Raw genomic sequence first — 17,333 nt, 5'->3', positions numbered from 1 at the left:
CTTAGTTTAGACTTGAGAGGGTGTATGTGTCCAGGAATTTATCCACTTCTAGTTTTTCTAGTTTATTTGCATAGAGGTGTTTATAGTATTCTCTGATGGTAGTTTGTATTTCTGTGGGACCAGTGGTGATATCCCCTTTATCATCTTTTATTGTGTCTACTGATTCTTCTCTCTTTTCTTCTTTTTTAGTCTGGCTAGTGTTCTATCTATTTTTATGATCTTTTAAAAAAACTACCTCCTGAATTCATTGATTTTTTGAAGGGTTTTTCGTGTTCCTTCTTCAGTTCTGCTCAGATCTTAGTTATCTCGTCTTCTGTTAGCTTTTGAATTGGTTTGCTCTTGCTTCTCCGTTAGATATGAGGTGTCTATTTTACATCTTTCTTGCTTTCTCTTGTGGGCATTTAATGTTATAAATTTCCCTCTAAACACTGCTTTAGCTGTGTCCCAGAGATACTGATATGTTATGTCTTTGTTCTCATTGGTTTCACAGAACTTATTTATTTCTCCCTTAATTTCATTATTTATGCAGTAGTTGTTCAGGAGCAGATTGTTCTGTTTCCATGTAGTTGTGCAGTTTTGAGTGAGTTTCTTAATCCTGAGTTCTAATTTGATTGCACTGTGTTCTGAGAGGCTGTTTATGATTTCTATTCTTTTGCATTTGTTTAGGAGTGTTTTATTTCCAATGATGTGGTCAATTTTAGAATAAGTGAAATGTGGTGCTGAGAATAATGTATATTCTGTTGATTTGGGGTGGACAGTTCTGTAGATGTCTATTAGTTCCACTTGGTCCACAGGTGAGTTCAAATCCTGAATATCCTTGTTAATTTTCTGTCTGGTCTATCTGCCTAATATTGACAGTGGAGTGTTAAAGTCTCCCACTATTATTATGTGGGAGTCTAAGTCTCTTTGTAGGTCTCTAAGAATTTACTTTATGAATCTGGGTTCTCCTGTATTGGGTGCATATATATTTAGGATATTTAGCGCTCCTTGTTGCATTGATCCCTTTATCAATTTATTATTATTTGGTAATGCCCTTCTTTGTCTCTTTTGATCTTTGTTGGTTTAAAGTCTGTTTTATCAGAGACTAGGATTGCAACCCCTGCTTTTCTTTTCTTTGATTTGCTTGGTAAATATTTCTCCATCCCTTCATTTTGAGCCTATGTGTGTCTTCGCACTTGAGATGGGTCTTCTGAATACAGCACACCGATGGCTCTTGACTCTTTATCCAATTTGCCAGTCTGTGTCTTTTAATTGGAGCATTTAGCCTGTTTACATTTAAGGTTAACATTGTTATGTGTGAGTTTGATCCTGTCATTATGATGCTAGCTGGTTAATTTGCCCATTAGTTGATACAGTTTCTTCATAATGTCGATGGTCTTTACGATTGGTTATGTTTTTGCAGTGGTTGGTACTGGTTGTTCCTTTCCATGCTTAGTGCTTCCTTTGGGAGCTCTTGTAAGGCAGACCTGGTGGTGACAGAATCTCTTCAGCATTTGCTTGTCTGGAAAGGTTATTTCTCCTTCGCTTGCAAAGCTTAGTTTGGCTGGATATGAAATTCTGGGTTGAAAATTCTTCTTTTTAAGAATGTTGAATATTGGCCCCCATTCTCTTCTGGCTTGTAGGGTTTCTGCCAAGAGATCTGCTGTTAGTCTGATGGGCTTCCCTTTTTGGGTAACCCAACCTTTCTCTCTGGCTGCCCTTAACATTTTTTTTCTTCATTTCAACCTCGTTGAATCTGATGATTATGTGTCTTGGGGTTGCTCTTCTCGAGGACTATCTTTGTGGTGTTCTCTGTATTTCCCGAATTTGAATATTGGCCTGTCTTGCTAGGCCAATAGTTCTCCTGGATAATATCCTGAAGGGTGTTTTCCAGCTTGGTTCCATTCTCCCCATCACTTTCAGGTATACCAATTAAATATAGGTTTGGTCTTTTCACATAGTCCCATATTTCTTGGAGGCTTGGTTGCTTCTTTTTCATTCTTTTTCCTCGAATCTTGTCTTCACACTTTATTTCATTAAGTTGATCTTCAATCTCTGATATCGTTTCTTCTGCTTGATGGATTTGGCTATTGATACTTGTGTATGCTTCATGAAGTTCTTGTGCTGTGTTTTTCAGCTCCATCAAGTCATGTATGTTCTTCTCTAAACTGGTTATTCTAGTTAGTAATTCCTCTAACCTTTTTTCAAGGTTCTTAGCTTTCTTGCATTGGGTTAGAACATGCTCCTTCTGAAGAACTAACTTCTGAAGCCACCTTCTGAAGCCTAACTTCTGCCAATTTCTCAGAGTCTTTCTCTGTCTAGTTTTGTTCCCTTGCTGGCGAGGAGTTGTGATCCTTTGGAGGAGAAGAGGTGTTCTGGTTTTTGCAATTTTTAGCCTTTTCGCGCTGGTTTCTCCCCATCTTTGTGGATTTATCTACAAAGATTCAAAGACCAAAGTCTTTTATTTTGGTGACTTTCAATTGGGGTTTTGGTGTAGAAGTCCTTTTTGTTGATGTTGATACCATTCCTTTCTGTTTGTTAGTTTTCCTCTAACAATCAGGACCCTCTGCTGCAGGTCTGTTGGAGTTTGCTGGAGGTCCATTCCAGACGCTGTTTGCCTGGCTATCACTAGCAGAGGCTGCAGAACAGCAAAGATTGCTGCCTGTTCCTTCCTCTGGAAGCTTCGTCCCAGGGGGCACCCGCCAGATGCCAGTGGGAGCTCTCCTGTATGAAGTGTCTGTCGACCCCTCCTGGGAGGTGTCTCCCAGTCAGGAGGTAGGGGGATCAGGGACCTGCTTGAGGAGGCAGTCTGTCCCTTAGCAGAGCTTGAGTGCTGCGCTTGGAGATCCACTGCTCCCTACAGAGCTGGGAGGCAGGAATGTTTAAATCTGCTGAAGCTGCACCCATAGCCGCCCCTTCCCCCAGGTGCTCTGTCCCAGGGAGATGTAAGTTTTATCGATAAGCCCCTGACTGAGGCTGCTGCCTTTCTTTCAGAGATGCTCTGCTCAGAGGGGAGGAATCTAGAGAAGCAGTCTGGCTACAGTGGTTTTGTCAAGCTGTGGTGGGCTCTGCCCAGTTTGAACTTCTTGGCGGCTTTGTTTATGCTGTGAGGGGAAAACCACCTACTCAAGCCTCAGTAATGGTGGACACCCCTCCCCCCACCAAGCTGGAGCATCCCAGGTCGACTTCAGACTGTTGTGCCGGTAGTGAGAATTTCAAGCCAGTGGAGCTTAGCTTGCTAGGCTCCGTGGGGCTGGAATCCACTGAGCTAGACCACTTGGCTTCCTAACTTCAGCCCCTTCTCCAGGGGAGTAAAGGATTCTGTCTCTCTGGTGTTCCAGGAGCCACTGGGGTATGAAAAGAAACTCCTGCAGCTAGGTCAGTGTTTGCCCAAATGACCATCCAGTTTTGTGCTTGAAACCCAGGGCCCTGGTGGCATAGGCACCGGAGGGAATCTCCTGGTCTGCAGGTTGTGAAGACAGTGGAAAAAGTGTAGTATCTGGGCCAGAGTGCACGGTTCCTCATGGCACAGTCCCTCATGGCTTCCCTTGGCTAGGGGAGGGAGTTCCCTGACCCCTTGCACTTCCCAGGTGAGGCGACACCCCACCCTGCTTCTGCTCGCACTCCGTGGGCTGCACCCACTGTCTAACCAGTCACATTGATATGAACTAGGTGCCTCAGTTGGAAATGCAGAAATCACCCACCTTCTGCGTTGATCTCACTGGGAGCTGCAGACTGGAGCTATTCCTATTCGGCCATCTTGCCAGCTGCCAACATTACAACTTTTAATAATAATTAACAAATACATTTTTGCACACTAGTTATTTTTCCATAAGATGAGATTTGATAATACTAAATTTTTTTAACATTACATTTTGGAAGATGAGTTAAAGATAAGAAATGCTCTCAGTAGGTATTAAATGCAGGATAAAAATATGCATACATTATAATTGTTTATGTGTAAAACACACTAAGGGCTTTTGCCTATTCTCTCAAGACAACAGTTATCAACACGGAAGACTTCTGAGACCAAATGTAGGCAGGGGTTTTTCCCCATCACCAAGTGAGCAATTAATTCTGTAGTGAACACCAACTGAGTATTCTCCAATTCAACTCCAACATTACCTGGAGATAGAGTCAGGTCCCAGAGCTTGGGGACTCAGTTTCCCAAGTTCCCCCATGCCCACTCCTCCAGACACCTTTTGCATGTCCAGGCCATCCTGAACTTCTGATCAACTGGCTTCAAGTTGGGGTTCCCACAATCCACTCTTTGGGTTTGATTAATTTGCTGGAGTGGCTCACAGAACTCATGAAAACAAATTTACCATTTTATTATAAGCGATATTACAAAGAAGACAGATGAAAAGATGCATAGGGCAAGGCGTATACAAAGGAACATGGAGCTTTCATGTCCTCTCTGGGTGCAACACCCCCCAGGAACCTCGACATGTTCAGCTATCTGGAAGCTCTTCAAACCTTGTTCTCTTGGATCTTTTAATAGGGATTTTATTGGAGAGACAGGATTGAAGCATGGACAACCATATTGAAATGTGATTGGACAGAAATGATGTGATATAAACTCAGTAAGGCCTGTCTGTTCAGATTCTTCTTGTCCTCTGTGCGGCATTCTTTACTCCACGGTAGGGGGCAGGACCCTTTCTGAAATGATTGTTTTATGACTCACAATCAGATTAGAATCCTGCCATGGCCAGTTGAAAGGAGAGCAGGAGAAGTTCAGAGGGAGAGAGAGATTGACTCTGTTTACTATAACAAGGGCTTTGGGAATTATGAGCCAGGAACTGTAGACCAAAACCTGTATGTATGTGTGTATATTTTATGCACACACACCCCCACACACAGAAACACACACATATATATGCAGATACATATATATACACACATATGTATGCACATGTGTATGTGTGTATCACAGTAGCATACACACATATAGAAATAAAAGAAAGTAAACTTAAATGTTAGCTATGGTTATGACCTGGGTGAAGAAATTCATTCTGGAATTCTTCCCAGTCAAGTTTATTGAAAAAAAATTAAATATATAAAATGTATCCTTTCGGTGTATAGTTCTATGAGTTTTGACAAAGGCAGGCCTTTCTCTAAGTTTTTGGTGGACATGTAATCACAACAGTCAAAATAAAAAATAGTTCCACCACCTCAAAAAGTTTCTGCATGCTCCATTGTACTCCTTCCTCCCTGGTCACACACCCAACACATGCAGCCCCTGGAAAACACCAATTTTTCATTCTTTATAAATTCTCTCATCCAAAATACCATATTCGAGAATCACACAGTATGTAATTTTTGAGTCTGGCTTCTTTCATTTAGCATAATGCTTTTGACATACCTCTATGTTGTTACATGTACCAGTATGCATTCTTCCAGGTTTTGATAATAAGTATAAAGCTGCAATAAACATTTGTATGCAGGTTTTTCTGTGAACATATGTTTGTTTTCTTTAGTACAAATATTGAGTGGAAATACTGGTTTGCATGGTAAGTGTACATTTAATTAAAAAAGAAACTGTCAAAACTTTTCCAAAGTGATTGTAGCATATTGCATCCCAACTGGCAATATATGAGAGTTCCAGTTGTTTAGTCTTGTCAGCACATGTTATTGTCAAGTTTTTGTAGTCTTAGCCACAATAACGGGTATGTAATGCTATCTTATTTTGGTTTTAGTTTGTATATCATTAATGACAACAGATGTTGAGCACTTTTTGATGTGCTTAATTGCCATTTAAATATCATCCTCAATTAAAATATCAATTTTTTCTCATTTAAAAATCAGATTGCTTGTTTTCTTGTCATTAAGACCTTTTATATCATATCAGATATGTGTTCTTCAAGTATTTTATTCCAATCTGTGGCTTGTCTTTTTATTTTAAGTTTTATTTGAAAAGTAGAGATTTTAATTTTGAGGAAGTCCAGTTTTCCAATTTTTACTTTTCAAGATTATGCTTTTTGTGTCATATTTAAATTTCTTTTTGCCTAACCCAAGGTGACAGAGATTTTCTTCTATATTTTCTTCTAGCAGTCCTTGTGACTTTATTAGGAGAAAGGGTATTTAAAGAGATAATTAAGGTTGAATGAGTCATAAAAGTAGGGCCCTAATTCTATAAGACTGGTGTCCTTAAGAAAAAGAGACACCAGAGGTGCTCACACACAGAGAAAAAGCAATGTGGGGCCACAGCTCGCTAAAAATGACTATTTACAAGCCAAGAAGAGAGGCATCAGGAAACAGCAAACATGCTAGCCCCTTGAAGAGAGGCATCAGGAAGCATCAAACATGCTAGCCCCTTGTTCTTGAACTTCTGTCCTCCAGGAGAAAATAAATTCCTGTTGCTTATGCCACCCAATATGTAGTATTTTATTATGGCAGTCCAAGCTGACTGCTGCGAACAGTATAAGTCCTTCAACTTTGTTCTATCTTTTCAAAATTGTTTGAGCTATTGTGTTCCTTTGCTTTCCCACTCCTCCCACCCTACCATATTAGAATTTGATGGCAAATTTCCACAAAAAAATTTTGCTGACATTTTTGTTGTAACTGTATTGACTCTACAGATCTATTAGGGTGGAATTGACATCTTAATGTATTGAGTCTTCTGATCCATCAACCTAAAATATATTTTAATTTATTTAGGTCCTCTTTTATTTCCTTTATAAGTGTAGTTTTTAGTATATAAATCTTGAGTTGTACTTTATTACACTTATATCTCAGTAATGTTTCTGATGTTATAAATAATACTCTATTTGTTTCAATAGTCTGTTTATTTCAGTTTCCCATTGTTCATTGTTAGCATGTAAAAATACAATGGATATTTGTTTATGGAGTTTGTTTTCAGTAAAATTGTTAAATTTATTTACTAGTTATACTAGCTTCTTTGTAGATTGTTAAGATTCTGTATGTAGATAATATGTCTTTCTTTCAAAACTGTATGTCTTTAATTTTTTTGTTTTTATTTATTACACTGAATAAAACCTCCAATAACATGTTAAATAGAAGTGATAAGAAAGGACATTTTGCCTGTTCCTGATCACAGAGAAAAATACTAAGTCTGTCATTAAGAATGGCATTATATGAAGGCTTTTAGTAGATATCTTATGTCAGGTTGAGGAAATTTTCTTCTGTTTGCTTATTTTAACATTAATACATATTGAATTTTATAAAGGCTTTCATTGAGATGCGTGTATTGAAATCATCATATGATTTCTCTTCTTGTGATATGGTGAATTACACTGATTAATTTTCAGTTATTGAACCAAACCTGCCTTCCAAGTATAAAATCTATTTGGTCATGATGTATTAGCTTTTGCATATGATGCTAAATTTGATTTGCCAATATTTTCCTCAGGATTGTTCATCGGTGTTTATAAAAAATGTCAGTCTGTAGTTTTCTGTTGTCTTTTAATGGTTTTGTTATCGGTGTAATCTTGGCCTTGTAAAATGTCTTGGAATGCATTTCTTTCTCCTCTATTCTCTGGAAATGATTTTTAAAAATTGGTATTATATGTTACTTGAATTCTTGATGACTAGTAAGCTATGTCCTAGTAAGCCCACTAGGAAATAGGCTGACATTTTAACAAAAATTATTCTTAGAAGTTTTGCAATTATGAATTCAAATTCTTTATTGTTATAGAGTAAATTATCTATTCCTTTTGAACATGCTTTAGTAGTTTGTTTCTTAAAGTTGTTTAATGTTATATAAATTGTTGAATTCATAAGCATATAATTTTTAGAGTATTCCATTATTATTCTTATAGTGTTTGAGGAATTATCAATGAAATCTTCTCTTTTCTTTTTAATATTGATTTTTTAGTCTTCTATTTTTTACCCTGAAGCATCTGATTAAAAGTTTATCATTTTTATTGTTATTTTCAGTCATCTTAAAAAAATTTTTTTTCTCTCAGAATTTTCTTATTTCTGCCTGCTTTGGGTTTAATTTATTCTTACATTCTTTGTTTCCTCAAGAGGATACTTAGATAATTTTTTGAACTCTTCCTTCTTTAATAATTAAAATATTTAATGATATACATTGTTTTGTAAGCAGATTTTTATTTGCCTATAACAAATTTTGATACCTTGTGTTTTCATTTTCATTTAATGAAAAATGAATTCTTAATTTTCTTTTAACTTTTTTCTAGACTCATAGTTTATGTGGAAGTATGGTGTATAATTTACAAATATTTAAAGATTTTCCTGGACAACTTTCTCTAATTTATTTCTGGTTTAATCCATTGTGTTGAGAAATTGTATCATTTCAATTCTTTTAAGTGTGTTGTGTTTTTTGCTAAAATTATTCCTAGGTATTTTATTTTTAAAAATTTTTATAGCTCTTGTACATGAAACTGTCATTTTTAAAATTTGTTTTAGATTGTTTTCTGTTGGCATTTGCAAATGTTACTGATTTTTATATGTTGATTTTGTATCCTGCAACTTTACCAAATGTGTGTGTCAATTCTAAGTTTTTTGTTGAGTCTTCAGGTTTTTCTAAATATCATATCATGTTGTCTGTAAACAAGGATAATTTGACTTCTTCCTTTCCAATTTGCATACCCTTAATTTTTTCTCTTGCCTGGTTGCTATCTCTAGGACTTCCATTGCTATACGGAATAAAAGTAGTGAAAGTAGGCATCCTCGTCTTGATTCAGATTTTAGTGGAAAGGCTTTCAATTTTTCCCCATTCAATATGATATTAGCTATGTGTTTGTCATATATGGCCTTTATTGTTTTGAGTTGTATTACTTCTATCCCCAGTTTGTGGAACATTTTTATCATGAAGGGTTATTGAATTGTATCAAATGCTTTATCAGCATCTATTGAAATGATTATATGGTTTTTGTCCTTGATTCTGTTGATGTGAGGTATTATGTTTATTGATTTGCATAGGTTGAACCATTCTTGCATCCCTGAGATGAATCCCACTTGATCACGGAGTAATTTTTTAATGTGTTGTTGGATTCATTTTGTTAGGTTTTTTTTTTTTTTTGACAGAGTTTTGCTCTTCTTGCCCAGGCTGGAGTGTCACGGCACAATATCGGCTCACTGCAACCTCTGCCTCCTGGGTTCAAGCAATTCTGCCTCAGCCTCCCAAGTAGCAGGGTTTCACCATTTTGGCCAGGCTGGTCTCAAACTCCTGACCTCAGGTGATCCACCCGTCTCGGCCTTCCAAAGTGCTGGGATTACAGGCATGAGCCATTGCGCCCGGCCTGTTAGTATTTTTTGAGGATTTTTGTGTCTATGCTTATCAGGGATATTGGTCTGTAGTTTTCTTTTTTGTGTGTGTCTTTATCTGGTTTTGGTATCAGAATAATGCTGGCCTGATAGAAAGCATTTGGAAGAATTCCTTCCTCTTCAATTTTCTGAAGTAGTTTGAGAAGAATTGATATTAGTTCTTCTTTGAATGTTTGGTAGACTTCAGTAGTAAAGCGATCAGGTCCTGGACTTTTATTTGATGAAAAACTTTTAATTACCAATTCAATCTTATTACTTGTAGCTCTTAGGTGGGAGTTTCTTCCCCTCTGAGGCAATAGGAGACTCCTGATTATATTGATATAGAATCCTTCACCCAGGATTATTTTCTGCTCCTTCTTCGGGGATATTTTTAAATTTTTATTCTTCCTTCTACTTTAATGCGTTTTCATTGTACCCTGCTGCCCTAAGTGATTTCAGGACTTTTTGTTGTTTTTGTTTTTCTATAGGGAAAAGGGTGTGGGTAGAACTTTGTTCCTTTCCTGCAGCTCTGGCTGCTTCTCTCCTTCAGAATCACAAAATAATGGGACTTTCTCTAGTCTCCTGCTTCATCCCTAATCTTCTCATGAGTACCCATTAGCTGTCTGTGGAAAACATCTGAAGAATGGGTATAAACTCTTCTTAAATCTGCAGTTTCCATGGATTCTAAACTTTTACACTACTTGGCCTTTCTAAATTTGCTAAAAATTTTAAATGCGTTATTTTTATTTACATCTGTGATGACTTGTGTCTTTTACTCCTGGGCACTGCTTTAAGTGAGCCATTGCTTTTGTCCTATCTATTCTTGCAGACGTCTGTTTTCCTTGGATTTTGAGCTATGTGGTTGCTCTGAGTCCTCAGCTCTTTGATAGGGTCAAGAAAAGGTTTATATGGGCTGTGTCTGTACAAAAATAAATTAGAAAAGAATTTGTTCTTCTTATTTTAGGCAAAACCCAACTGTTTAGTGATTGATTGGTGTCTAGAAATTTATAAATCAAGCGTCATCTTATGTCAAATAAAATAGAAAGTTTTTTTCACTTTTGGTATTTTTTAATATATAATCTGTCTTATCTCGCTCTTTAGTCATACAGTAAATATGTTCTTGTTACTGATTTAAATTTTGAGCAACACAGAAAACATTCTTTGAAGCTGCTCTTTCCATGTTTGGAAAGGAAAGAAATCAAATATTCATTAAACAAAAATTTTAAATTCATAATATCAATTCAAGAAATACTATGTACTCTTAGCTAATTAGCAGAAAAGTACACATAGCTCTTTTTTCCCACCAGAGGCATTAAGATCTGTAGGTTTATTAATGGAAATATTTATTTGGAAAATAGAACTTGGATTTATTTTTTCAAATGTTAAGACAGAAAAGTTAAGCTGACCATGGATGATTTTGTTTCTTGCCAGTCCCATCATTCATTATATAATGTTCTTCAGGCTTATTACCATCTACCTTAAATACCATTATTTTATTTCTTAAATATAATATTCAAGTATTCAGATAAAAATTACATTTTTACTTGATATTTCTGGGAACTTCATAGCTTCATGCAGTTTTGGTGGGATTCATCTGTCATTGTTTCATGATACTTCAAGTTGCAATCAGCCATGCAGGAATTTCTTAATGATGAGAAATATGCATCTTCAGTTTATCTTTATTTTATATCTTTTCTGGGGGGATTCTGGAAAAATCTTTTTGTTGGACAGAGTAATTAAGCAATATCTTTAAAAAATATTCTTTAGATGACTTAGACTTTCTTATCAATCAGATAAATCAGCAAGTCTTCAGTTGAATAGTGAAAATAAAGATGAGAGTAATATAAAATACTAATTTAAAGTTATTTTATTAATGCAGAAGATTTATTTGGATGCAAATATTAGAATTCTGAAAGTTTACATATTTTAAGAACTTTTCATTTGAGACTATCACTTGGGAGGGGGGAACTTGAGATTTAAGAAAATCATTATTAGTTCACTACATTTGGTACTGTAACATTGTTCCATTCTACATAAATGTGGTTCATGGTCCCCTTGTGGTTAATGACCAGTCATCAATCAGTGGACTCCTGCACATTGGGCTTGGCTATCTCTCAACAGTGCCACAGGTGGTTAAACACACACACACACACACACACACACACACACACACACACACAAAAATGTGAGCCAGAAAATTAAAAAAGACTCAATTCCAGCGGGAAAGAATATTGAGTCACCTATGGAAATGAGAAATGTGGGTTAAATACAATATCTAATTAAGGAAACTGTTGGTTAAATGGATGTTCACATTTAGTAACTAATTAAAGTATAATAGACAAATTATGTTCTCTTTGAGTTGGTATCGTATCTGAATTTGCTAGTTCTCTGCCCAGGTTTGTCTGTTGACAAGCCGGCCTAGGGGAGCAGAATACTTTAGGCGGAGGGAGAAAAGAGATGTTTCTTTGGGTAACTGGGAGGGAGTGGGAAGAATAAAAAAGAGAAGGTGGAAGCAGCACATGTGACCTTCTCAGATAATGGTCACCTGTCCCTGGTCCAGCACCCTAGACCTGTGTCTGAGATCAGAGAGACACAGGCCATATTAGAGGATCCATAAGTTGTCAGGTACACGGAAATGTGCTGGTAGGGCTGAGACTGCATTTCTAAACAATTGGTACATAACATTTATAGAATTGAATGTTCTCTCAGAAAGATCTGCTTGAGGAGTTGCATCTCTCAAGGTTTTTTCCTCTGGCAAGGGTGTCAGTGCAGCTTGTCAGAGCAGAAAACAGGACTTCAGGGATAACTCAGTTGAGACACTACTGGGAGTTCTAGAAACGACTCAGTGAAACTTTAGGGTAGTACAGACTAGAGGATCTCCATTATGCCAGTGAGGGTTATAGCAAGTGAAATTGGAGTTATTAGTGTGAATGAACCTCAGTGGGACAAGAAAGCCTACTTATGGATCAGACTTGGTCTCAAATGTAATTTCCTCATGTAAGCTTCTCAGAATTCCCAGTATAAATGGGATCTCCTATGTACATTATCAGTGTCATTTTGTTTCTTGGTGCTTATAAAAGTTTGATTCATGTTTTAATTCTTTGGTTAATATTATTTTCTCCATCAGACTATAAACTCCAAGAGGGAGAGGACCACAGAAATGGAGCATAGTAAGTGCTCAATAATTTTTATATAAATACATGAGCAGATGGATGAATGAATGATATGTTTGCTAGAGCAGTCTCAAGTAAAATTCATTACTTCTTTACTAAATATTAATTGGTCTTTGAGGAAACTGCCAGTAACTTCTTTGGTCATTTCTTCTCTGATAAATTTTATGTTGGTTTTTGGGCTCATGCTTATGATGGGGAGAAGCTTCAGCCAGATCCCACTGAGGAAATTATACTTTTACTACAATATACCAAAGCAAATGTTAGAAACAGTGAATAAATTTAATCAATAGATTAATTTGAATAACTGATGCCAGATAGCTAGTTGGTTTGATTTTTATCTCTTATTGAACTGACTTAACAGCTGTTTTCATGCTGTGTAACCCGTCTCAATGACTATTGACACACACAGTACTATCATTTATTGTTAGCAAATAATCACCCCTAAGAACTGGAATTTGACTGCTGTATTACTCTGTGTACTTCTGATTAGAATTTCTGTTTTTCTAATGGTATGACTTAATGATTTTGCTCTTGTTGTATACCAAAATGTTATCAGTTTAACATATTATATGTATTGGACATATAATATTTTGTTTCTAAATTTTAACATATATGCAATTTTAAAATATGCATATTTTAAAATGAACTTTAGTAATTCTGGATATCACAAAAATTTATAAGTGGGCAGCAATATGTTGTGAAGAATTAAATCTCTTCATTCTGATGGCTTTATAAAACTTGATGCAATTTTGTAGACTACTAATGTCTATGAAATGATACTGGGTGGTAAAATTATTTACCTTGATATAACTTTTCTGTTTTTTATGCTTCTTTTAAAAAAACCTTTAGTACTAATACTTGAGAATAACTTTACTACCCTTATATAGGTTTTACTTCCCAAGAAGTTATAATAATAGACTAGAGTCATTTTGTTTATCATCTGATAATACTTTTGAATACTTTTTAGTGCTATTCATTTGTAAGCTTATGGTATTTTAAATTAACATAGAATCATAAGTTTTGTGTCATAAGTTAATATGAGGCAGTATAGCAGGACTGGATATTATGGAAATTGACATGTTTCTGCCTCTAGTGGAAGCAAGTGACCTAAATGAAGGCAGCCAGCTAAGTGTGGCAAACAGGAGAATGTTTGCCTTTCTAAGTAAAGTGCTATTACTTGGTTCTGGCAGGAATGCAGCCTGCAAAGGCTTTCAGATTTTCTGATTCTTGTTTTTTTTTTCCCAACTATAAAAATTGCATAAGTTTTAAAAAATCCTCCTGCCTTAAAGTCAGACAGATAAATGGAAAAATTCTGGCTCTTTCACTTAAACCATTTATCACAAAGTCCATTACATTCTAAGCATTCAGTAAATGATAGCTATTATATTACAACTAGAAAAACTCTAAGTTGAATTGACCTCCAGTTTCTGCGTTTCTTAAAATGAAATGTTTCAATAGCATACTCTGGCCTAACTGTGGGCATACATGTGTGCATATGTATGTTAGAAAATAAGAAAGAAGTTCCTGGAATTTCTGGGTAAATATAGATAAAATATGTATGTTAGAAAATAAGAAAGATGTTACTAGAATTTCTGGTTAAATATAGGTAGAAATAGGGCAAAAACAGAAAGATCAATGACATAGAAGTATATTTTCTGCCAATTCTATAAACTTCATTTCTCAGAGATGAAGTGCTTCATTCCTATTTGTTTTCTTAGATATATATTATCCATTTACTACCCCATCAAAATTCATTTGTTATTTACCCATGCTTGGTTCTCTCAAGGGTCTTTCTAAGCGATTGAGACTAATCTGATGAGTTAAGGTTCTAATCGCATGTAATTGCTTAATGTCTTATCTCTTCCTGGTAGCTTTTGCATTTTAACACAGGTCTTCAATACCTTAGCCCAGTGGGGTTTGTAATAAGATAAGAATGACCAGACCATGCAGGCCCTTGCAACTAAAGGATGCAGCAGTTAATATTTGTGGATAGGCTTAAGAATTCCAGCTACTGACAAGACCAGGCCAAAATATTTTTGGGAAGGAAGATGTTTCAATCTCCCTCAAATCTATGTTGGGGTAAGATTTAATAGTTGGAAAACTCTCTATTCTGGGTTGCATATATCAAAAGTAATTAATAATTTGACTTATTTGAAAATAGTTTTAACCAGTCATGTTGGAATTATATAAGCAGATCATTAGAAGGCAAAAAGGGGATGAATGGGAAAATCTCTCTTTTTTAAGCTCCATTTATGCTGACAACTTGTGCTTGTTCTAAACACATTAATATTATCTTACTTCATTAACTTTGAAAAGCAGCATTTTGGTGTCATTTTCAATTCCTATAGAGCCTCCCACCTTTTTTCAGAGTTCTTAGGAAATGCCACATATGTACTCACAAATTAGTTTTATGAGGCTTACACATTTCTCTTCTCCTCTGCTCCAGGTTTATTTCTGCTGCCAAGGTCTAAAACAGCTATGAAGTTGTGTCTTACTATTTCTTCCAGTGGCCTGCAATCCACTGGAAACCATTTCCTCTGTTGTCCAGCAAGCAGTTTAATTGAGTACTGCAGTACTCTTCTTGAGGCAGTACAAGTTGGGGAATAAACTCAAGTAAGGGGTCATGTCCTGTTTAGAAGAAACAATCATTTTAAGAGTAAAGAATTTGTTTTGACTACTCCTGGGTACCTGACTTCACTTCTTTTAGATAAGCCTCCCTCACTGGAGACTATATGTCATAAATGGTCCCCTGGATTCCACTTTGCTGACTGTCATATACAACCACAGTCCTGTAGGGAAACAACTTATAGTCCTATGGGGCTGATATACATCTTCAACTGTGACTTTTCTTGGGACCAGAATTCAGTCTCTGTACTTAGATTTTCCAATTTATACTTGTTTAAGCTTAGAGAATTTGTTTTGAGAATGTAGCTCTAAAAAGTTTAGGCTTTTTTTTTATTCCATTTATCAGGATCTACAGTAATACTTTCCCACCTTTCCCTGCAAATTTTCAGATAGATAAATCACCAGCAAAATAAAATTATCTGCCTAAAATCTTTGCAGCCTAAGATCATGCATAGAACTTTAACGGAGAGGTCAAAAGACCCAAAGGATAGCTATGGGGTCATTTTTAATTATTCCACAAATGAATCAAAATAAAATCTGAAACATTGTAAAGATATCATACTTTAACCAATTAAACAAACCAAAACAACTAAAATCTCAGTACTGTTTGTGTGGCATAGTATTGATTGCATACACAATGGGCCATTCTATCTTCATCTGTGTATCATAACTGCCATCTTTTTCAATGGCAATAAGATCAGCCCCAAAGAATAAACTGCATTCATTTAATTATGCCAACCTCATTCCCTTTTGGCAACAATTGGCCTAGGAGTAGACATATGACCAGACTGACTGAGATAAAAGGGGAAGTACGAGAAACTTCTGTGACATTTTTTTTTTCCTTATCAAAGAAGGGAAGCATGTGAGGAAGACTCATTCTCATTGCCCTGAAAATACTCATGCTTCTTGTTTAGAAGTGGACCAAGTATTTGGAGCTATAGCTGTCATCTTGGAATTACGTGAAGTAGGCCTAGAGTAGCAGAGGGAATAAGACCCGCTGCTCAGACTCTTAAAGTTGTTGAATCAACCCCTGACTGCCAGCCTCTAAATTTCACTTTGAATAAACAGTATAGGTCCTTGTTGATTAAATCATGGGGTGACAAACAATCTGCAGGCCAAATCCAACCTACCACCCATTTTTGTTAATAAAATTTTATTGGAGCAGGGTCACCGTATTTATTTATGTATTGCATAATAGCTCCTTGCACTACAGTAACAGAGTTGATAGTTATGAATGGTATAATTGAGTAGTTGTGACAGATACAGTAGTTATGGATTGCAAAGCTTAACATATTTACTATCTGGCTCTTTGCAGGAGAAGTATGCCAACTTCTACATTAGGCCAGTATAATAGTCCCCCCTTATCCACAGTTTCACTTTCCACTTCTCTGTGGTCAACCATAGTCCAAAAATATTAAATAAAAAATTTCAGAAATAAATAATTTATAAGTTTTACATTGCATGCCATTCTGAGACAATCCTCCCTTTGTCTAGCATATCCATGCTGTATGTGCTAACCCTGCCCATGAGTGCTTAGTAGCCATCTTAGTTATCAGATTGATTGCTATAGTACAGTAGTACTTATGTTCAAGGTCAATAGTAACCTAACACTACATTATAATGCTTACATCATTCACCTTACTTCAACTCATCATGTAGAAATTTTATAATCTCACATTATCACAAGAAAAAGGGTGGGTACAGTACAATAATATATTTTGAGAGAGAGAACATTCACAAAACTCATTATGATATATTGTTGTAATTGCTCTATTTTATTATGTTATTTTTGTTAATCTCTTACTGTGCCTAATTTATAAATTATACTTTATTATATGTATGTATGTACAAGAAAAAATAACACATATAGGATTTGGCAATATTCACAGTTTCAGGCATTCCCCAGGAGTCTTGAAACATATTCCCTTGCAAATAAAGGGTGATTTCTCTGTTAGAATTTTCTATTATTGCCATATCAGTGCATCTGAAGTGATAAAATTCTAATTCTAAACATCTACATTTGTTGGCATAACAACCACATTTTACACACGATATGCCTATTAAATGCTGATAAATTCTTTTCTAAGTAAAAAACAGATTTTAAAAAGAGATAAAGTATTGAGAAACTTATGTCTGTGTTTTAATTTACCCCTAAACTCCAGCTAATATTTTGCACTGAGAAGAAATCATCATCTTAATTGTAGCCTAGTGAGATTTAAAATAACTTGACTTTTTTTCTTTTAGAATGAGATGTTTAATGGAAATGCTTTAAGGGCCCAAGCTAGTGAGTGAAGCACTATTGTTACAGCTATTTCAAAATGACATTTA

At 35.8% G+C, this 17,333-nt stretch overlaps 1 long non-coding RNA gene across 1 annotated transcript; it reads left to right on the top strand.

The window, feature by feature from the left end:
• Positions 1-4,763: 4,763 nt before the first annotated feature.
• LINC02534 (long intergenic non-protein coding RNA 2534) lies at positions 4,764-15,057 on the top strand. Its single transcript, NR_134602.1, has 4 exons — positions 4,764-4,794; positions 12,335-12,377; positions 14,252-14,459; positions 14,827-15,057. It is a non-coding gene; the product is annotated as a long intergenic non-protein coding RNA 2534 (long non-coding RNA).
• Positions 15,058-17,333: the final 2,276 nt, after the last annotated feature.

Source organism: Homo sapiens, chromosome 6 (genome assembly GCF_000001405.40).
Source record: "Homo sapiens chromosome 6, GRCh38.p14 Primary Assembly".
In the NCBI taxonomy this organism is placed as follows: Eukaryota; Metazoa; Chordata; class Mammalia; order Primates; family Hominidae; genus Homo; species Homo sapiens.
This window is presented reverse-complemented; position numbering and strand designations above follow the sequence as displayed.